The sequence below is a fragment of the Homo sapiens genome, chromosome 21 (genome assembly GCF_000001405.40).
Source record: "Homo sapiens chromosome 21, GRCh38.p14 Primary Assembly".
NCBI classification, from domain to species: domain Eukaryota; kingdom Metazoa; phylum Chordata; class Mammalia; order Primates; family Hominidae; genus Homo; species Homo sapiens.
This window is the reverse complement of record NC_000021.9, coordinates 32,220,464-32,244,059: the sequence shown is the minus strand read 5'-3', so window position 1 is coordinate 32,244,059 and position 23,596 is coordinate 32,220,464. Positions and strand designations below refer to the sequence as shown.

The 23,596-nt window shown below is 39.9% G+C and overlaps 1 protein-coding gene across 1 annotated transcript in view; it reads left to right on the top strand.

Moving 5' to 3' along the window:
* MIS18A (MIS18 kinetochore protein A) overlaps positions 1 to 23,596 on the top strand; it is a 124,368-nt gene that overhangs the window by 34,990 nt on the left and 65,782 nt on the right. The gene's annotated exons all lie outside the window — the stretch shown is intronic.

The following is a 23,596-nucleotide window of genomic DNA, read 5'->3' as shown; positions in this document are numbered from 1 at the left end:
TTGTATGGATGTATTACAATTTGTTAACCCACTGATGATGGACATCTGGGTGGTTTCCAGTTTTATAGTGTTATGACTTCTTCTTCTTTTTTATTTTTATTTTTTTGAGTCGGGGTCTCGCTGTGTCGCCCAGGCTGGAGTGCTGTGGCACGATCTCGGCTCACTGCAGTTCATTGCGGCTCACTGGCTAATTCTTGTATTTTTAGTAGAGACAGGGTTTCATCATGTTAGCCAGGCTAGTCTCGAACTTCTGACCTCAGGTAATCTGCCTGCCTTGGCCTCCCAAAGTGCTGGGATTACAGGTGTGAGCCACCGCGCCTGGCCTTGTCGTGAATAAAACTTCTAATAAGTATCTGCATACAAATTTTTGAGTGGACACAGGCTCACATTTCTCTTGGGTAAACCCCTGTGAGTAGGATTGCTGGGTCATATGGTAAGTCTGTGTTTAACTTTATAAGAAATGTTTAGATGTTCCAGTTTCTCTGCATCCTCACCGGCACTTGTTACTGTCAGGTTTTAGGTGTACAGTGGTGCTTCATGATCATTTTCATTTGCATCTGCCTAATGACTATGATAAACATCTTTTTCATATGCTTGTCACATATATATACCATTTGGTAACACACCTATTCTAGTGTTTTGACCATTTTTTAAAAACTGGGTTGTCTGATTTTCTTACTGCTGCACTTTGGTAGTTCTTTTTATATTCTAGATCCAACTCTTTTTTTAGGTATTTAAAAAATATTATCTCCCAGTCTGTAGCTTGATTTTTTATTCTCTTAACTTTTCACTGAGCAAGTTTTTGATTTTGATAAAGTCCAATTTAGCAACTTTATCTTTTTTGGTGTCATATCTACGAACTCTTTGCCTAATCCCAGATTACAAAGATTTTCTCCTGTGTTTGCTTCTAAAACGTTTAACGTTTTTCATTTAGGTTTGTGATCTATTTTGAATTTTTTTTAATAAGGTGTGAGGTTTCTGCTGAAGTTTATTTATTTTGCCTCTGGATGTCCAATAAGTCCACACCGTTTGTTGGAAAGCCATCCTTCTTCCAGTGAATCGCTTTTCACCTTTGTCAAGAATCAGTTGGTTCTGTCTGTGTGGGTCTGTTTCCAGGTGCTCTCTTTTGTTCTGCCAGTACCACACTGTCTTGGGGAGGTAGATAAATAGTTCACTCACTTGTTAGGAGTCTGGCTACACTTTTGCTGAAAGAAGTGTTTTAAAACATTACCAGTTCGACATGGCCCCACCATGTCTGAGTCTTCACTACCCCTGTCCATCCATCAGAGTCCCACAACACTGGGAGCTTCTGGAGGGCAGGGATAGGGACATTCTTTTTGATAAGCCCAGCACAGGACCTTCCACATAGCAGGTGCTCAATCATATTTGTGGGGAAAAAAATGACTAATGATTCACTGGCTAAATACTGTCTACATTCAAGAATACAGACAAGAAGTCACATTTAGAAGGAGGCTTTTAATCACAGAGTGACCATTTTACAAACAGGGAGCAGAGACATTTTTGCTGTGCTCCAGCACTCAAAAACTTTTTCTTTTTTTTTTAAGTACAGTCTAATTCAGATGAAGAAAATATACTTATGGGCTATGACCTTTTTCCCCAACCAAAATGAAATAATTATATTAAATGCCATGAAAAAAATGATGTATATTTATACCTAAGATTATCTATTTTACTCAGTAGAAGAATATGATGAGGAAACAGGCACTGGCTTTCACCTTCCGAAATGGCCATATCCAGGCATCTTTGGAAAGTGACAGGCCATGGAGCCTTATCATCCCTCCTCCTGATGTGGATTCAGGTTTATATTGGAAAATTCAATCGCTCTCAGGCTGCTTCTTGCTGCTGTAAAAATCCTTTCTGGCCGGGCGCGATGGCTCGCGCCTGTAATCCCAGCACTTTGGGAGGCTGAGGCGGGTGGATCACGAGGTCAGGAGATCGAGACCATCCTGGCTAACACAGTGAAACCCCGTCTCTACTAAAAACACACAAAAATATAGCCGGGCGTGGTGGCGGGCGCCTGTAGTCCCAGCTACTCGGGAGGCTGAGGCAGGAGAGTGGCGTGAACCCGGGAGGCGGAGCTTGCAGTGAGCCGAGATGGCGCCACTGCACTCCAGCCTGGGCGACAGAGCGAACTCCGTCTCAACAACAACAACAACAACAAAAAACCCAAAATCCTTTCTGGTATGAAATTGTCAAGAGAGCAACACAGAAGAATTTCTTTGAGTCTTCTGTGGGACAAGAAAATAGCTCGATAAGGCAGTTTTCCATAATTGTGCTCTTTATAGTGAAATGTTACCGCTTTGCCTCTGAGCTGTTAAGGGTTGACATGTGTGTCTTTTATTACACCTGCCAGGGGAGGAAAGAATGTCAGAAACCCAGCCTGAGAAGCCCTAGTTCCTTCTCTGATGTTTAATTTCTTACATCTCTGCTTCAGACAGTCTGGTCTAGCAGACAGGCAACAAGGCCGAGGTAGCTGGCTCCAAGTCTTCCTAAATTCTCAGGAACTCCATGTTCCTTCCAAGGAAAGGGAAATAGGATGTAGCCCATCACCCTGCCACACCATCTTCACTGAGACAGAATCATAAGAACGATGACACTTAAGTTACCATTTGGGGTCACATCCTTGACAGTTGGCTCTGTTGCTTTCTTGAGTTTTTTTTTTTTTTTTTTATTGTCAGCTAGACATTTTGCTTCTTCAAATAAAGCAGTACTCCACTGGAATGTTGCTCGGATTTTAATTGTGTTTTCTTTGGATGGAAAAGAATTTGAAGTTCTACTTTCGTAATAACCACACCAAATGATTTACTTAAACTGAAAGTGAACAGTCAGTTACATGTTTAGTTTTCAGTCATGACATTGTATATGAAAGTTATGAAAAAGTAAGTGCCATCTATGTTGACTCTGAAAAAATATACATATAAAAATCACTACGGTCTCTCTAGAAACGCTGAAAGCCAAATATAATCTTAACATTTAAATGTGAACTTGAGGAATAGGGCCACATTTTAACAGCTTGACAGGCTTCGGTTTCAGCTGCTTTCTTTAAAGAGAAATTTCTAAATATTTAAGCAGCATCTGTCAAGTCTCCCAGACATGAGCCATGAATGAGACTTCCTGTATTATGGGGATTGTAGTGACTGCTAGAAAAATAAACTGCAAATAAATGAATCCAAGGGAGAGGGATGCAAATACGCTCTGCAGTACGAGTTCACTGAGAAGGGAGGCTGGACTAATTTCCTTGAGTAGGTACTTTAAAAAAACCAAAACCACATCTTTTGGGCGTCAGTGTCTGTGGCAGTCCATTGCAGACACAGATGTTTGTGTACAAAGACCAGGGCATTCATGTATAAATACAAGTAAGTGTAGCAACATATATTGTACATCCAAGTCTTATTTAATCGTGACAACATTTTTGTGTGCTATTATTATCACCATCCTGTAGATGGAGAAGAAACCAAGTCTGGCTGTATCCCTTGATTTTGCCCAGGGTCACGGTCTTAGTTTGTTTTGGCTGCTATAAGAAAATACCACCAACTGGGTGGCTTATAAACAACAACTGTGAGAAATTTAGTTCTCACAGTTCTGGAGGCTGGGAAGTCCAAGAACAAGGCCCCGTAGGTTTGGCATCTGGTGGCAGCTGCTCTTGGTTCCTAGATGGCATCTTCTTGCTGGGTACTCATGTGGCGGAAGGGACAACTCTCCTCTCTTTAGCTCCTTACAAGGACACTAATCCCATTCGTGAGGGCTTCACCTTCGTGACCTAATCACCTGTCCAGAGACATTCCAGTACCACCATGTTGGGGATTAGGTTTTAACGTATGAATTTAAGGGACACAGAGGTTCAGTCCATGCATCATGTAATTGGTTGATGTTGGTTCTGCTGTCTCCAGAACCAACATTGCAGCAATGCGATGCAACGTTCGCAGCACTGTGACATTGACATCATTGTGTCCCCCACAGACCTGGACTGCGTATTTGTACGTAATTCCCAACAACTCAAATGGAATTCTGCTTTAAGGATGCCTACTTATTTATTTATAACTTCTTTTGTTTCAATAGTACCCAGAAGAAAAAGATGTCTGTGGTTCAGGAAAGGTGATCAGGAATAACCCAGCAGCCCCTTTCAGTCAACAGCAGTGTATTTTTCTTTGAAACCACCAAAGATTTTCTCCTTAGGAAAATGTCCTTGGCATGTAATTAATGTGCCAATCCCGTAGCACTTTTCTTCCTCAGAGGGCTAAATAGAGTTTGAGCTTCCTTTGTTTAAAAGCAGCAACAGAAAATACCAAACCTAAGGGTGGAACTCATGCTGAGCCCTTTTCCCGTTCTGTTTTCTTTCTCGTGGCTCTTCTGTGGTCAGAATATTATAAAAGCCTCCTATGGCTCACAGTCAGTCAAAGAATCCATTTTTCTTCCGAGGCGGCTCGCACATACCTGGTTGCGATGGCACCTTCGTGGGGAACCTTTCATGGTGAGAATCTTATAAATAACAAAGAGCAGCACAAGAAAGCTTTTGGTGATAGAAATTCTTTTCTCACTTCAGTTTTCTGCTCAACATTTCTGGGTGAAAATGATTGGGATTTTATTTTCTGTCAAACCTTATCAGTATCAGCTAGGTTCCGAGGAATTTTTAGTCCAGCTGGAAGATTGCTCCTGGGAATGAAAAATTGCATAAATGCTTTCCACTTTAAGTTCAGGTAAAATATCCTTCCCCTTGTCCCTAGCTCCTGCCTCCCCACCAGAAAACTAACCCCTAATAATAATAATACTTGGTATTTGTGCTGGGAATTAACTTCTCAAGGTCGGACGGAAAGCAAGTGTAGAGAAGTGATACCTTGGGGATGAAAAAGCTTAACTTCTTTAAAATAGTTCTTCCCCCACTATTGAAGCATGGCATTTGTATGTTAAGAAGAAAATAAGTTACTCATAATCCCATTGCACAGGTGTAAATGCTGTTAATATTTTGCTAAGATTTTTTCCCAGTACACATATATAATTTTTTTCTTACACAATTGAAATTCTAAAGACAATGTTATGTTAGGTGGAATCCGTATCTCTTATGTAAAACTAAAAGAGGTATTTTTTTTTCCCCCAAGAAACAAATCCTCACACTGTGAGGTTGGAATGATTATTTAGACACTTTGACAAACGTCGAATTGTACATTGGAACAGGAATTTCTGATGTCCTTTTTCCTCTATTCATGGTTCCCCAAAATCACCCCTCCCTCTTCTTGACAGCAGCAACAGGCAGAGGAAAGAATGCTTTTGACTTACAGAAGTCACTAGAGTGGTACAGTCACAAAGATACAAGAAGGGCTTGGGACCCACAGAGTTCTGAGGAAGGGAGGAGTGACATGGACCACACAAACAAGGGCATAGAGGTGATGGTATTGGGGGTTGATTGAGGAAGGGGCAAAGGGATAACAGAGAGGGAATGGTGATAGTGGGGAAAAGCCAGCATAGCAGAGACAGAATTTCATCTGTCCCTGTGCATCGTCTAGCACTTACAGCAGGGTGGGGTCATGGAGCAAGTTATGATTAAAGTGGGTAGAAGGAACATAAATTATTTCCAGACTGAAGTAAAGAAAAGCTGGTGTATGACCCTGTAGCTGTCTCATCCCCTGCTGTAGGAAATGGGGAGGCCTCACATTAAAAATGGTGTATCCTGGATCCCTGAGAGACTTCTTGGACTTGTAGTATGAATATGTGGAACAAACCTAAGTTGTATAAAGTCACTGAGATTTGGGGGGTTATTGTCACTGCAGCACAACCTATCCTATCCTAACTAATTTAGCCATGTGGATTCTTACAAGAAATTTGCCTTCTTTGTCTTGCTTGCGGCTAGGCATGGGCAAAGTGTTCATGTGACACAGGGGTTGGGTGAAATCTATGATGGGGCTTTAGAAAATGGCTTTTCTGCCTTAGAAGAAGAGATGAGTGTGGAGACACTGCCATTCTCCCCTCTCCTTTTGCCAGATGTTGACATATTATATAGATATGGTACTTGGGGCTATGGCAGCTTCCTTGTAACCATAAGGGGAGGCATTACTGACACAGGGATTACAGGGCAGAAAGATGGAGAGCATCTGGGTCCTTAATGACACCATAGAGCCACTGAACCAAGCCTGAAGCTTCCCTGCCTCTGTACTTCTGATTGGGTCTGTTAAGACTATCCTTAGCCTTTTAGCTACTTCTGGTTGGTTCCTCCCCTACTCACAGTCAGAGTATCCTAGCTGTCCATCTAATAGTATGTTAACAATAAAATAATTAAAATGATCATTTTTCCTAATCATCAGGAATATAATTCTACAATTTTGCAATTTGTAAAATGCTAAACTCATAAGATATATTTAGGGGCAGGGCTTCGTCCTCAAAGACTCTTATTTTATAAAAGGACTCATTAGAGTTGTTTCAAATACCAGTTACCCATGTGCATTTCAGTGATCAATTATGAAATGAAAGCATTAGGAACTATCTGTAATTTGCTTATCAACTCCAAATGAAGCTTAAATGATTTCTTTAATGTTACTAAAATTATTAAGGCTTAGCCCATTGTAAGTGTTCAGTGAAAGGCAGCCATTAGTACTATTAAGCTATGGCAATTGGCTGTACTTTTTGGACATGGACTCCACTGTGGATTCACTGGCAGGCGGACATGGGACTGTACCTGGCAGGCCAGGCTGAGTTATGCTGTGCTAACACATCAGCAACCTGGCAACCTCAGGGGCTTGCAGCAGCATCAAGGTTTGTTTCTCTCTCATGCTGCATGACCCTCTCAGGCAGGCTTGGTTCTGCCCACATCATCTGCAGTTCCAAGGCTGATGGAACAGCCTGTCTGGAACATTGCTGGTTTTGTGGCAAAGAGAAGAAAGAGACCATGAATCATGGCCTGGCCTTTATAGCTTTCTTCTGAAAGCAACACACGTCACTTCTGCCCACATCTCATTGGCTGAAGCAAGTTGATTTTTACAGGGCGGGGGTGGGGGGTGTTGCACCATGAGAGGAAAGTAGAATTTGGGGGAACAGTAATACAATCCAATGGAGGCAATGAATTGGGGTGTCTGAGACCCTCAAGTCAGCCCAGTTTCCCTAAGAAGGTATCACTGCTCTCAAACCCTTGCCTGCATTCCTGATATCTCATTGCCCTGCAAACTGTACCCCCATATCCATTCTCTTTTCACTCATAGCAATAGAACAGTCCATTGGTAGCTGGACTCATGGCTCCCAAGTTAAACCCTCCATCTGCCAGCCTCCCTTGCAGGTAGATGTGGCTGTGTATTTAACTTTTTGGTGAATGGAAATATAGCCTTAAGATGATGTGTGATCCAGGTCATGCCCTTAAAAGGAAGGGGCATATCCACCCCTTTACCTGTTCCCACTTGCTGCTGGCTGAAGTCCAGATGCAATGATGAACCACGCTGGACTCACCAGACAAGAGTGATGCTCTGGAGATGGCAAAGCAACATGAGGAGGAATCTGTACCCTCTCAAGAGCTATGCCATTGAGCTGCCATACTAGCCTGGACTTCTACATAAGACAGAAATAGATAAATAGATTTTGAATTTATTTTTTTGACCAGTGTTATTTTGGGTTTCTGTTTCATCAGTCTCACATACACATTTCCTGCCCAAGTACACTCTTTTTTTTGTTGTTGTTGAGAGGGAATCTTGCTCTGTCACCCAGGTTGGAGTGCGGTGGTGCGATCTTAGCTCACTGCAAGCTCCACCTCCCGGGTTCACGCCGTTCTCCTGCCTCAGCCTCCCGAGTAGCTGAGACCACAGGTGCTCGCCACCACGCCTGGCTAATTTTTTTGTATTTTTTTTTTTTTAGTAGAGACGGGGTTTCACCGTGTTAGCCAGGATGGTCTCGATCTCCTGATCTCGTGATCCACCCACCTCGGACTCCCAAAGTGCTGGGATTACAGGCGTGAGCCACCGTACCCGGCCCACTCTTTTTTTTATTTTAAATAAAACACAGTTGGCATTAAACAATAGCAGAGAAAAAAAGGCCAGGTTATATTTAGTAATAAAAATGCCCAACTGCGTGAGAGTTCTCTGATGCCACTTGCAGGGGGGCTCTTGAGACAGTGAGCCTGCTTCTTCTCCAGGACACTCTTCAAAGGGAAGGAGAAATGCCTTCCGAGATCAGACAGGACAGCTCCTGGAAGTAAGAGCTGTCCCTCTTTACCTTCCTCTTTTCCCATTTTATCCTGCAGATGTCCTTCCCTTAGAAAAGCTTGTTCTCCATGGTGGGTTGAGGACAGGCAGTCCAATGATGGATGATGGTGGGCAGGTCTCAAACCGTGCCTGAACGCGGTGTCTCCACAGAGAACGTGCAGGCTATACACTCGCCTTGGCCTTTGCAGGGGCCAGTGGTTAAATAGGCTTCTAGCTTCTTTGTTGATGTTTCCTTTTTTGCTGGCACAATTTCTCCCATTTGTTCGTATTTTTCCTAGTAGAGATGTCAAATAGGTTTCACCTCATGTGTCAACACTTATGTATTGGTGGTAGTGGCTGCCAGAGTCACTGTGTTGGGTTCCCTGAAGCAGAACCTCAGGCAAGGATTCAGATGCACTGGGTTTATTGAAAGGGGCTCTTTGGAGGAAGGGAGTGAGGGCAACCAGATAGGGCAGGGGAAGGAGCTATGTAGGGATGTGGTCTCAGCTGCAGCCCAATTTCAGCTTAATCCCATGCAGGCCTGTAGAGCATAAATCACACCTCAGAGTTGTACCCACTTCGAGGCAAGAGGGCTGGACTTTATTAGTCAGTTATTGGTTGCTGGCCGCCTCAGGTGAAGATCCTCCAATTCCGCTGAAGACAATTCTGTGGAGGTGGGGGCAGCTGTGAGTATCCAGTATTGGCATTCATAGCAGCCAGGAAATGGGTGCCCTTAGTGATAAAAGGGACCTGGGAGCAATACCAACAGCATCTACTCCTCTGCATTCATGCTCAGGGAATGAGTGTTGTGATCAATTAGCTATATCTGCCATGGGCATGGGTCATCTCTGTGGAGACCCATGCTGGGAGGAGAGGAGAGGAAAGAATGAAATAGGTGCTCCTCTGTCTCAAGAGCTCTGGTAAAATGTTTACTGAGGAAAGTTATGAAAATTACAGAATAAGATTTGCATTACAGCTTACTGTTAGTCCGTTCTTGTGTTGCTATAAAGGAATACCCAAGGCTGGGTAATTTATAAAGAAAAGAGGTTTTATCTTGGCTCATGGTTCTGTAGGCTGTACAGGAAGTGTGGTGCCGGCCATCTGCTGGGCTTCTAGTGAGGCCTCAGGAAGCTTCCAATCACGGCAGAGCCTGCATGTCACATGATGAGAGAGGGAGCCAGAGAGCCAAGGGGGAGGTCTCAGACTCCTTTAAACAAGCAGTTCTCACATGAACCGAGTGAGAACACACTCATCACCATGGATGCTGCTAAGCCAGTCATGAGGGGGTCCCACCTTCAACATTGGGGATTATATTTCAACAGGAGATTTGGAGGGGACAAACATCCACACCACATCATGGCCCAACCATTGCCTTATAAATTGAGATCTGGCACTACCTCTTTCCTAAGGACTCAGAAGCAGAGCTTCTGGTAAGAACCTTTGGTTGCAAGCAACAGATTTCATTCCTGGGTAACTTCAGCACGTTAGGCATTAGGACTATGGGAAGCACATTGAGGGAGCTCATGGGATCAAAGAAAGACCGTAAGGCTGAGCAGGAATTGGGGCCACTCCAGCATCCTCAGCATCAGGACTGCTTTCTAGGGTGGGGCCAGAACCCTCCGCTCCAACCACCTCTGGTCTCTCTGATTCCTTCTTTTTGATCAACTTATAATTTTAGAATAGTTTCAGTTTACTGAAAAGTTGCAAGAATATTAGAAAGAGTCCCTGTACTATTTCCCCTATTGTTAACACTGCTATGGTACATTTGTCACAAATAATGAACGGATGTTGACACATTGTTATTACCTAAATTCCACAGTTTACTCAGATTTCCTTAGTTTTTATTTAATATCATTTTTCTGCCCCAGGAGCCCATCCAGGGCACTGCATTACATTTAGTAGTCATATCTCCCGAGGCTTCTCTAGACAGAATTTCTCAGACTTTCCTTGTTTTTGATGACTGGACAGTTTTGAGGAGTATTGGTGAGGTGTTTGTAGAATATCCTTTACTTTCTGTTCCCCTTTAATTTTGGCTCAGTTTGAGTCCAGCGTCTTCCTCCTTGGATCAATTTGCCATGGCCAGGGGCAGAGTGGGAGCAGAACAAGTCCATGGTTGGGGTGGGGGTCATTGTGAACCCTAGCCATCCCATTTTGTGCCTACAACCTTGGTAATGAAATCAGGGTCCCCTGCCTGCAAGATAAGATGAAACGAATTACAGCTCCCAGGAGGATGATTCCATATGCCCACAATGGTAGCATAAGAAGTGGCACAAAATTTGATGGCCAAGGTTAAGCAATTGTAGAGAGGAAACCTGAGTAATTCTGACCAGAATCAAAGCCGTGGCTGCTACGTACTTTATTCTCTGTGCTTCAGCTTAAAACAGGAGAGTATGCCTGAAATTCCTTTTCCATTGCTTGTCATTTTGATTACAGTATCACTGCACATAGCAATTTTTTTTCCTATCAACAAAATGGCAAACCCTCAAAGTGTAGATTCTTACGATTACACGGTACAATTAATTTGCTATTTCTTTTGTTTCTCTCCCCATCCCAACCCTGAAGATTACAGAACAATTGATGTGCAAGACCTTGGTTAAAAACAACTGCTGCTGAGAAAAATTCAGAAATGCAATTCATTTCTAAATAGGTCATTTACATAGCAAAGAGCTGTGGTGCTCACTGAACTGAGCTGAACTCATTGAACTCATTGACTCATGCCTTTATTCAGAAAACAAGGAATTCATCCAGGAAAGCAATTAAACACTGGCCTATTTAAAGAAACCTGTTGCTCTTTTGTAAACTGGACAATTATTTGTTTGCCCAGAATATAGAGGTTAAGTGAATTTAGACTACTGCCTTTCCTGTTTTCAAATAGAAACAATTTCACTGTGTATGTCAAAGCTGGACCAGGTAAAATGATCATTTTCAGGTTCCCATTGATTCTCCATCTCTGCTCACTCTAATACCCTGTAGAGAGCACCTAAAATCTACTCTCTTAGCAAGCTTCCAGTATACAATATAATATTATAACTATAGTCCTCATGTTGTACATTAGGTCTCTAGGTTTTATTCATCCTGCCTATCTGCAACTTTGTCTCCTTTGACCTATATCTCTTCATTTCTTCCCTCTCCTTCCACCTTCCTGGTAACCACAGTTTTAATTCTTTGTTTCTATGCATTTGACTCTTTAAAAATTTCTTCATATAAGTGAGATCATGCAGCATTTTTCTTTCTGTGTCTGGTTAATTTCACGTAGCATGATGTCCTCCAAGTTCATGTATGTTGTCACAAAGATGAATAATATTTGTATTTTTTAAAGGCTGAATAATATTCAATTATATATATACACAAAATGAATATTATTCTGTATACAATGGAAGTTATTCAGTATACAATGGATATTATTCAGCCTTAAAAATGATGGATACTCTAAAGATATATATATCTTTATATATGTAATATAAAGATATATGTAATATAAAGATATATAATGTGTATCTATTTATGCATACCACATAGATACATATATTGTGGTAGGCACATATATTTATCTATATAGCTATATCTATAGATATATCTTTATATCTATGAATGATAAAGAAATTGTGGTATGCACATATATCTATATATCTAGATATATCTATAGATCTCTATATCTGAATATATAGATCTTCATGGTATATTTGCTCAGATCCTAGAAATATCTAGATATATAGCTATAGGTATAGATATATAGAGATAGAGATAGATATATACATACATGTACATACCACAGTTTCTTTATCCATTCATCTGTTGACAGATGCTTAGGTTGTTTCCATATCTTGGTTACTGTGAATAATGCAGCAGTGAACATGGGCATGCAGATGTCTCTACAAGATGCTGATTTCATTTCCTTTGGGAATATACCCAGCAGAGAGGTTGCTGGGTCATATGGTAACTCTTTTTTTTGTTTTGTTTTGTTTTGTTTTGAGACGGAGTCTTGCTCTTTGCCCAGGCTGGAGTGCAGTGGCGCAATCTTGGCTCACTGCAAGCTCCGCCTCCTGAGTTCACGCCATTCTCCCGCCTCAGCCTCCTGAGTAGCTGGGACTACAGGTGCCCGCCACCACGCCCGGCTAATTTTTTGTATTTTTAGTAGAGACGAGGTTTCACCGTGTTTATCAGGATGGTCTCGCTCTCCTGACCTCATGATCTGCCTGCCTCGGCCTCCCAAAGTGCTGGTATTAACTCTTATGTTTAACACTTTGAGGCATTGCTAGACTGTTTTTCAAAGTAGCTGCACTAGTTTACATTCCCACCAGCAGCATATGAGCGTTCAAATTTCTCCACATCCTTGCCAACACTTATTATCTGTCTTTTAGATTCTAGCCATCATAGTGGGTGTGACGTGATATCGCATTGTGGTTGTGACTGGCATTTCCCTGATGGCTAGTGAGGTTGGGTATCTTTTCATGTGTGTTTATTGACCATTTGTATTATCTTCATGGTTTATTTGTTCAGATCCTTTGCCAATTTGTAATAGATTATTTGTCTTTTTATTATTGAATTTTAGGAATTCTTTATATCCTAGATACAAGTCTTTATCAGATATGTGATTTGCAAATAACTTTCCCCCATTTTGTGGGTTGTCTTTTTTTTTTTTTTTTCGAGACAGGGTCTCGCTGTGTCGCCTAGGCTGGAGTGCAGTGCTGCAATCTTGGCTCACTGCAACCTCTACTTCCCAGGTTCAAGGGATTCTCTGCCTCAGCCTCCCGAGTAGCTGGGACTACAGGTGTGCACCACCATGCCTGGCTAATTTTTGTATTTTTTGTTAGAGACGGGGGTTTCACTGTGTTGGCCAGGCTGGTCTCGAACTCCTGGCCTCAAGTGGTCTGCCCACCTCAGCCTCCCAAAGTGCTAGGATTACAGACATGAGCCACTGCGCCCAGCCTGTGTGGGTTGTCTTTTCACTCTCTTGATGAAGTCCTTTAAAGCACAAAATATTTTAATTTTGATGCAATCATATATGTGTATTTTTGCTTTTGTTATTTGTGCTTTTGATGTAATATCTAAGAAACCATTGCTAATTCAAACTCACAAAGACTTACCCCTGTGTTTTCTTGTAAGAGTTTTGGTTCTTACTTGTAGGTCTTTATCCATTTTGAGTTCATTTTTGTATATGGTATGAAATAGGAGTCCAACTTCATTCTTTTGCATGATTGATACCAAGTTGTTCCAGCATAATTTGTTGAAAATAATATTCTTTTTCCATTGAATTAATTTGGCTCCCTTGTTGAAAATCAGTTGAGGGTAAATATACGGGCAGGTAGGAACACAACTGACCATTTAGTCAGATGACTCCCTTCCGTTCAGTAACTACCCCTTATTTAGTCTACGTGATGGCAGTGATAGCAATACTGTTAACAGGACAGTCCTTCATTTGGGCTTTAAGTCCCTTATTTGTCCTGGGAGCCAGGCTCTGTGTAAAATACATTATTCAGGTTATCGTATAATTTCCAAAAATGCTCTATTGTTAATCCATTTTATAGATGAGGATACTAAGACCCAGAGAGATTAAGTGACTTGCCTGAATTAGGTGATGAAGGAATGGCAGATTCTCCTGATGCTAGTCAGGAGTATAGTATATTTTGATATACTTGAAAATATGAAAATTTAGGGAGCAACCAGTTACACTGTAATATATAGAATAATTAGCCATCCAAAGATGATAATTCAGTTCTTATTTAAAAGAGAGAAAGGAAGAATCTGAGTCCTCTACCCTTTGGCAGACCTATCTGGAACTTTGGAAGTACTTGATAGCATCCATCAGGAAATGGTCAGACGACTTGAGTTTTGCATGCAGTTGTTGATGAGGTCAGATAGACTGGAGAATCAATGGAAAATTTCAGAGCATTCTTTTGTTTTACATTATTGGCTAGTTGTAAACTCTGTACTTTGTTGAAAGACACAGTAGAACCAAGTGATGAACAAGAAGGGATAACTTAATAAAGGAATGAAAGCAGAACTTTAAGAAATTGCTGATGTTTAGGAAATGAAAAGGGGCTGATAATAGCAATTAATGATTGTGAAATCTGGGCCTCTTACTGTGAGTCTTAAAATCAGTTCTAAAACAGAAGATTAAATACATATTGATCCGCTGATGGGCAAAGGTGAAGTTCAAAAGCAAAGAATTGACCAATATGTATTATGTAAATTAAGCTCTTTTCTGTGATGTGAATAAACACAAGCTGATAATTAGTGTCAGTGAGATGCTGAGTTGATTCTGTATTTGGCAAAGATGCGGGACCATGTCTGTCTGCAGTCACCTTCAGAAAGGCTGTCTTGCTGCAAAGAGATGCCATGAAACACTTAAAGTTCTTGTTGCAACTGGTCTTACTTTACTAATGCAGCGGGTAATTACAACAGGCTTTGAAGTGCAAAGCCTTCTTTCGGTTATGCGCTTATTAAAAACCACCATGCTCTCGCAAAAATCCAAGAACTCTAATGGGAAGGATTTTACAGTAAGAGGGCCACAAAACCCCAGATTGCCCTAGATCCTTGCCCTCTTGCTTGTTTGCCTGGCACCTGCTGCAGATGCAGACCATCTAACTGAACTTTAGACATAGCACTTGGTTAAAATGACTATGTCCTTGAAGAACTTTCCTGCTGACTTACCCTTAGGTGAATATTTCCATTCTCTTATTTATCTCATTTGTTTTTTTGACATATATCCAGTTAACACAGGTTTTGTAAGAATCCCAAGGGACTAAGAAACATAGTAATTAAGAAATACTTTGGGAATTTAGAGGGCAGTATTTCAAATCAGTGAGGAAAAGATACATTTAATACATAACATTAGAATTAGTGGCAGCCATTTGGAAAAAAAAACTAGATTGCTTGTGCTGAAATAAAAGAAAATAAAAGATTTAAATACTTAAAAATGAAAACTAGAAGCATATATAGGTGATTTTTTTTCATAATCCAGCTTAACAATGTTAAGTCTTCCAATCTATGAACACATTGTGTCTTTTCATCTATTTAGCCTTCCTTAATTTCTTTCAACAATATTTTATAATTTTCACTGTACGAGCCTTGCACTTTTTTTGTTAAATTTACTCCTAAGCATTTTATTCTTTTTGATTATAAATGGAATTGCTTTTTAATTTCATTCTCAGATTATTCATTGTAGTGTGTAAAAATATAATTGAGCTTTGTTTATTAATCTTTTATCCTGCAACCTTGCTGAACTCGTTTATTAGCTCTAATAGGTTGGGGTGTGTGTGCATGTGTGTGTGTATTCCTTAGGATTTTCTATATGCAAAATCATGCCATCTGCCACTAGAGAGTTTTACTTCTTCCTTTTCAATCTGGATGTCTTTTATTTCTCTTTCTTGCCTGTTGCCCTGGCTAGAATCTCCCACTAAATGTTGAATAGAAATGCAGAGAGGGGACATACTTTCCTTATTCCTGATCATAGGCAGAAAGCACTGCCTTTCACTATTAAAGGCGATATTAATAGCTGGGTGCAGTGGCTCATGCCTGTAATCCCAGCACTTTGGGAGGCCGAGGTGGGCGGATCACTAGGTCAAGAGTTCAAGACTAGCCTGACCAACATAGTGAAACCCCGTCTCAACTAAAAATACAAAAATTAGCCAGGTCTGGTGGCACATGCCTGTAATCCCAGCTACTCAGGAGACAGAGCCAGGAGAATCACTTGAACCTGGGAGGCAGAGGTTGCAGTGAGCCGTGATGGCGCCACTGCACTCCAGCCTGGGTGACAGAGAGAGACTTCATCTCATAAAACAAAACAAACAAACAAAAAAAGACGATGTTAACTTTTTTTGTAGATGCCCTTTATGAGGTTGAGGAAATTCCCTTCTATTACTAGTTTATTGAGTGTTTTTATCATGAAAGGATGTTGATTTTATCAAATGCTTTCCACGTCTACTGAGATGACCATGTGGTTTTGTCCTTTATTAATATGACATATTGCATTGCTTGATTTTTTATGTTGAATCCATATTGCATTTCTGGGATAAATCTCATTTGGTCACAGTGTACACATCTTTTCATATGTTGTTGGATTTGGTTTACTAATAGTATGTTCAGAAGTTTGCATATATGCACAATAAATATTAGTATGTAATTTTCTTCTCTTGTGATGTCTTTGATTTGGGTATCAGAGTAATACTGGCTTCATAGAATGAGTTGGGAAACGTTCTCCCTCTTCTATTTTTTGGAAGAGTTTGTGAAGAATTGACGTCAAGTATTCTTTAAAGTTTTGGTAGAATTCACCAGTGAAGCTATCTGGGCCTGACCTTTTCTTTGCAATGTTTTTCCCTACTAATTCAATCTCTGTATTTTTTATAACTCTATTCAGACTTCTGTTTCTTTTTGAGTCAGTTTAGGTTGTTTTATCTTTCTAAGAATATGTCCGTTTCATCTAGGTTATCTGATTTTTTGGTGTACAATTGCCCATTGTTTTTTGTTATAATCCTATTTTTTTTTTCTGTAAGGTCAGTAGTAACATTCCCTATATCATTTCTAATTTTAGTTATTTGAATCCTTTCTTTTTTTCTTGTTCAGTTTTGAGAAACATTTGTCAATTTTGTTGATCTTATCAACTTCTACTTTTTGGTTTTATTGATTTATTTTTATTACTTTCTATTCTCTATTTCGTTTATTTTGTCTCTAATATTTATTATTTCCTTCCTTTTTCTGCTTTGGGTTTAGTTCTTTTTCTAGTTTCTTAAGGTAGCCAGTGGTTATTCATTTAAGATCATTCTACTTTGTAAATATAGACACTTACAACTATAAATTTCCCTATAAGCACTGCTTTATTTGCATCCCATAGATATGTTGTGTTTTGTTTTCAATCTGCTCAATTTCCAACTTCTGTTGTGATTTTAGTTTTGAGCCACTGATTTTTTTAGAATTGTGTTGTTTTCCTATTTGTGAATTGTCTAAATTTTCTTCTGTGATTGATTTCTAATTTCATTTCATTATGGTTGGAGAACATATTTTGTGTATTTTTAATCAATTTAAATTTATTGAAACTTGTCTTATGGCAATATAGTTTATCCTAGAAAATATCCCATGTGTGCTTGAGAAAAATATGTATTCTGAAGTGTTCTGTAGATGTCTATTAGGTCTAGTTGGTTCATAGTACTGTTCAAGTCTTCTACTTTCTTGTTGATCTTCTGTCTAGTTTTTCTCTATATTATTGAAAGTGTGGTTGAAAGTCTCCAACTGTTATTGCTGACTTGTCTATTTATTCTTTCATATCTGCCCATTTTGTCAGTTTTTGCTTTATATATTTTGAGGCCCTGTTTTTAGGTCCTTCTATGTTTATAATTGTTGTTTCTTTCTGATAGATTGATACTTTTATCACTATAAAATGTCCTTCTTTGTCTCTAGTAACGATTTTTGTATAAAGTCCATTTTGTCTGATATTAGTATAGCCACTCTAACTCTCTTTTGTATGAATGGTATATATTTTCCTATCCTTTTATTTTCAACCTATTTATGTCATTAAGTTTAAAATGCGTCTTTTGTAGGCAGCATATAGTTGAGCATTAAAAAATGCATTTTTTATGAAAAACTTTTTTTTTTCTTTTTTTTTTATTATACTTTAAGTTTTAGGGTACATGTGCACATTGTGCAGGTTAGTTACATATGTATACATGTGCCATGCTGGTGTGCTGCACCCACTAACTCGTCATCTAGCCTTAGGTATATCTCCCAATGCTATCCCTCCCCACTCCCCCCACCCCACCACAGTCCCCAGAGTGTGATATTCCCCTTCATGTGTCCATGTGATCTCATTGTTCAATTCCCACCTATGAGTGAGAATATGCGGTGTTTGGTTTTTTGTTCTTGCGATAGTTTACTGAGAATGATGATTTCCAATTTCATCCATGTCCCTACAAAGGACATGAACTCATCATTTTTTATGGCTGCATAGTATTCCATGGTGTATATGTGCCACATTTTCTTAATCCAGTCTATCATTGTTGGACATTTGGGTTGGTTCCAAGTCTTTGCTATTGTGAATAATGCCACAATAAACATACGTGTGCATGTGTCTTTATAGCAGCATGATTTATAGTCATTTGGGTATATACCCAGTAATGGGATGGCTGGGTCAAATGGTATTTCTAGTTCTAGATCCCTGAGGAATCGCCACACTGACTTCCACAATGGTTGAACTAGTTTACAGTCCCACCAACAGTGTAAAAGTGTTCCTATTTCTCCACATCCTCTCCAGCACCTGTTGTTTCCTGACTTTTTAATGATTGCCATTCTAACTGGTGTGAGATGATATCTCATAGTGGTTTTGATTTGCATTTCTCTGATGGCCAGTGATGATGAGCATTTTTTCATGTGTTTTTTGGCTGCATAAATGTCTTCTTTTGAGAAGTGTCTGTTCATGTCCTTCGCCCACTTTTTGATGGGGTTGTTTGTTTTTTTCTTGTAAATTTGTTTGAGTTCATTGTAGATTCTGGATATTAGCCCTTTGTCAGATGAGTAGGTTGCGAAAATTTTCTCCCATGTTGTAGGTTGCCTGTTCGCTCTGATAGTAGTTTCTTTTGCTGTGCAGAAGCTCTTGAGTTTAATTAGATCCCATTTGTCAATTTTGTCTTTTGTTGCCATTGCTTTTGGTGTTTTGGACATGAAGTCCTTGCCCATGCCTATGTCCTGAATGGTAATGCCTAGGTTTTCTTCTAGGGTTTTTATGGTTTTAGGTCTAACGTTTAAATCTTTAATCCATCTTGAATTGATTTTTGTATAAGGTGTAAGGAAGGGATCCAGTTTCAGCTTTCTACATATGGCTAGCCAGTTTTCCCAGCACCATTTATTAAATAGGGAATCCTTTCCCCACTGCTTGTTTTTCTCAGGTTTGTCAAAGATCAGATAGTTGTAGGTATGCGGCGTTATTTCTGAGGGCTCTGTTCTGTTCCATTGATCTATATCTCTGTTTTGGTACCAGTACCATGCTGTTTTGGTTACTGTAGCCTTGTAGTATAGTTTGAAGTCAGGTAGTGTGATGCCTCCAGCTTTGTTCTTTTGGCTTAGGGTTGACTTGGCGATGCAGGCTCTTTTTTGGTTCCATATGAACTTTAAAGTAGTTTTTTCCAATTCTGTGAAGAAAGTCATTGGTAGCTTGATGGGGATGGCATTGAATCTGTAAATTACCTTGGGCAGTATGGCCATTTTCACGATATTGATTCTTCCTACCCATGAGCATGGAATGTTCTTCCATTTGTTTGTATCCTCTTTTATTTCCTTGAGTAGTGGTTTGTAGTTCTCCTTGAAGAGGTCCTTCACATCCCTTGTAAGTTGGATTCCTAGGTATTTTATTCTCTTTGAAGCAATTGTGAATGGGAGTTCACTCATGATTTGGCTCTCTGTTTGTCTGTTGCTGGTGTATAAGAATGCTTGTGATTTTTTTACATTGATTTTGTATCCTGAGACTTTGCTGAAGTTGCTTATCAGCTTAAGGAGATTTTGGGCTGAGACGATGGGGTTTTCTAGATAAACAGTCATGTCGTCTGCAAACAGGGACAATTTGACTTCCTCTTTTCCTAATTGAATACCTTTTATTTCCTTCTCCTGCCTGATTGCCCTGGCCAGAACTTCCAACACTATGTTGAATAGGAGCGGTGAGAGAGGGCATCCCTGTCTTGTGCCAGTTTTCAAAGGGAATGCTTCCAGTTTTTGCCCATTCAGTATGATATTGGCTGTGGGTTTGTCATAGATAGCTCTTATTATTTTGAAATATGTCCCATCAATACCTAATTTATTGAGAGTTTTTAGCATGAAGGGAAGTTGAATTTTATTGAAGGGCTTTTCTGCATCTATTGAGATAATCATCTGGTTTTTGTCATTAGTTCTGTTTATGTGATGGATTACATTTATTGATTTGTGTATGTTGAACCAGCCTTGCATCCGAGGGATGAAGCCAACTTGATTGTAGTGGGTAAGTTTTTAATATACTACTGGATTTGGTTGACCATTATTTTGTTGAGGATTTTTGCATTGATGTTCATCAGGGATATTGGCCTGAAATTTTCTTTTTTTGTTGTGTCTCTGTCAGGTTTTGGTATCAGGATGATGCTGGCCTCATAAAATGAGTTAGGGAGGAGTTCCTCTTTTTCTATTGTTTGGAATAGTTTCAGAAGGAATGGTACCAGCTCCTCTTTTACCTCAGGTAGAATTTGGCTGTGAATCCATCTGGTCTTGGCCTTTTTTTGGTTGGTAAGCTATTAATCACTGCCTCAATTTCAGAAGTTGTTATTGGTCTATTCAGGGATTCGACTTCTTCCTGGTTTAGTCTTGGGAGGGTGTATGTGCCCAGGAATTTATCCATTTCTTCTAGATTTTCTGGTTTATTTGTGTAGATGTGTTTATAGTATTCTCTGATGGTAGTTTGTATTTCTGTGGGATCAGTGGTGATATCCCCTTAGTCATTTTTTATTGTGTCTATTTGATTCTTCTCTCTTTTCTTCTTTATTGCTCTGGCTGGCGTTCCATCTATTTTGTTAATCTTTTCAGAAAACCAGCTCCTGGATTCATTGATTTTTTTTTAAGGGTTTTTTGTGTCTCTATCTCCTTCAGTTCTGCTCTGATCTTAATTATTTCTTGTCTTCTGCTAGCTTTTGAATTTGTTTGTTCTTACTTCTCTAGTTCTTTTAATCATGATGTTAGGGTGTCAGTTCTTGATCTTTCCCATGTTCTCATGTGGGCATTTAGTGCTATAAATTTCCCTCTAAACACTGCTTTAGCTGTGTCCTAGAGATTCTGGTATGTTGTGTCTTGGTTCTCATTGATTTCAAAGAACTTCTTTATATCTGCGTTAATTTTGTTATTTACCCAGTAGTCATTCAGGAGCAGGTTGCTCAGTTCCCTTGTAGTTGTGAGGTTTTGAGTGAGTTTCTTTCTTTCTTTCTTTTTTTTTTTTTTTTTTTTGAGACGGAGTCTTGTTCTGTCACCCAGGCTGGAGTGCAGTAGCGCAATCTCAGCTCACTGCAAGCAAGCTCCGCCTGCCAGGTTCACACTGTTCTCCTCCTTTAGCCTCCCAAGTAGATGGGACTACAGGTGCCCACCACCACACCTGGCTAATTTTTTTGTATTTTTATTAGAGACAGGTTTCACCATGTTAGCCAGGATGGTCTTGATCTCCTGACCTCGTGACCCGCCCGCCTTGGCCTCCCAAAGTGTTGGGATTACAGGCATGAGCCACCACGCCTGGCTGGTTTTGAGTGAGTTTCTTAATCCTGATTTCTAATTTGATTGCACTGTGGTCTGAGAGACTGTTTTTTATGATTCTTGTTCTTTTGCATTTGCTGAGGAGAGTTTTACTTCCAATTATGTGGTTAATTGTAGAGTAAGTGCTATGTCGTGCTGAGATCAATGTATATTCTGTTGATTTGGTGTGGAGAGTTCTGTAGATTTCTATTAGGTCCTTTTGGTCCAGAGCTGAGTTCAAGTCCTGAATATCCTTGTTAATTTTCTGTCTCGTTGATCTGTCTAATATTGTTAGTGGGGTGCTAAAGTCTCCCACTGTTATTGTTTGGGAGTCTAAGTCTCTTTGTAGGTCTCTAAAAACTTGCTTTGTGAATCTGGGTTCTCCTGTATTGGGTGCATATATATTTAGATCATTAGCTTTTCTTGTTGCATTGATCCCTTTACCATTATGTAATGCCCTTTTTTGTCTTTTTTGATCTTTGTTGGTTTAAAGTCTGTTTTATCAAAGACTAGGATTGCAACCCCTGCTTTTTTTTTTCTTTCCATTTGCTTGGTAAATATTCCTCCATCCCTTAGTTTTGAGCCTATATGTGTCTTTGCACGTGAGATGTGTCTCCTGAATACAGCACACCAATGGGTCTTGACTCTTTATCCAATTTGCCAGTCTGAGTCTTTTAATTGGGACGTTTAGCCCATTTACATTTAAGGTTAATATTGTTATGTGTGAATTTGATTCTGTCATTATGATGCTAGCTTTTTTTTTCTTTTTTGGAGTCTTGCTTGTTGTCCAGGCTGGAGTGCAGTGGCATGATCTTGGCTCACTGCAACCTCCACCTCCTGGGTTCAAGCAGTTCTCTGCCTCAGCCTCCTGAGTAGCTGAGATTACAGGTGCCCTCCACCACATCTAGCTAATCTTTTTTTTTTTTTTTTTTGTATTATTCGTAGAGATAGGGTTTTGCCATCTTGGCCAGGTTGGTCTTGAACTCCTGACCTCGTGATCCACCCGCCTCGGCCTCCCAAAATGCTGGGATTACAGGTGTGAGCCACCACACCTGGACCACTAGTTGTTTATTTTGCCCATTAGTTGATGGAGTTTCTTCATAGTGTTGATGGTCTTTACATTTTGGTATGTTTTTGCAGTGGCTGGTACCGGTTTTTCCTTTCCATATTTAGTGCTTCCTTCAGGAGCTCTGGTAAGGCAGGCCTGGTGGTGACAAAATCCCTCAGCATTTGCTTGTCTATAAAGGATTTTATTTCTCCTTTACTTATGAAGCTTAGTTTGGCTGGATACAAAATTCTGGGTTGAAAATTCTTTTCTTTAAGAATGTTGAATATTGGCCCCCATTCTCTTCTGGCTTGTAGGGTTTCTTTAGAGAGATCTCCTGTTGGTCTGATGGGTTTCCCTTTCTGGGTAACTTGACCTTTCTTTCTGGTTGCCCTTAACATTTTTTCCTCATTTCAACCTTGGTGAATCTGTTGATTATGTGTCTTCGGGTTGCTCTTCTCGAGGAGTATCTTTCTGGTTTTCTCTGTATTTCCTGAATTTGAATGTTGGCCTATCTTGCTAGGTCGGGGAAGTTCTCTTGGATAATTTCCTGAAGTATGTTTTCCAACTTGGTTCCATTCTCCCCATCACTTTCAGGTACACCAATCAAACGTAGGTTTGGTCTTTTCACATAGTCCCATATTTCTTGGAGGCTTTGTTTGTTTCTTTTCATTATTTTTTCTCTAATCTTGTCTTCACACTTTATTTCATTAAATTGATCTTCAATCTCTGATATCCTTTCTTCTGCTTGATCGATTCAGCTATTGATACTTGTTTAGGCTTCACAAAGTTCTTGTGCTGTGTTTTTCAGCTCCATCATGTCATTTATGTTCTTCTCTAAACTGGTTATTCTAGTTAGCAAGTCCTGTAACCTTTTATCAAGGTTCTTAGCTTCCTTGGATTGGGTTAGAAGATGCTCTTTTAGCTCGGAGGAGTTTGTTATCACCCACTTTCTGAAGCCTGCTTCTGTCAATTTGTCAAACTCATTCTCCATCTAGTTTTGTTCCTTTGCTGGTGAGGAGTTGTGATCTTTTGGAGGAGAAGAAGTATTCTGGCTTTTGGAATTTTCAGCTTTTTTGTGCTGGTTTTTCCTCATCTTCATGGATTTATCTACCTTTGATCTTTGATGTTGGTGACCTTCGGATGG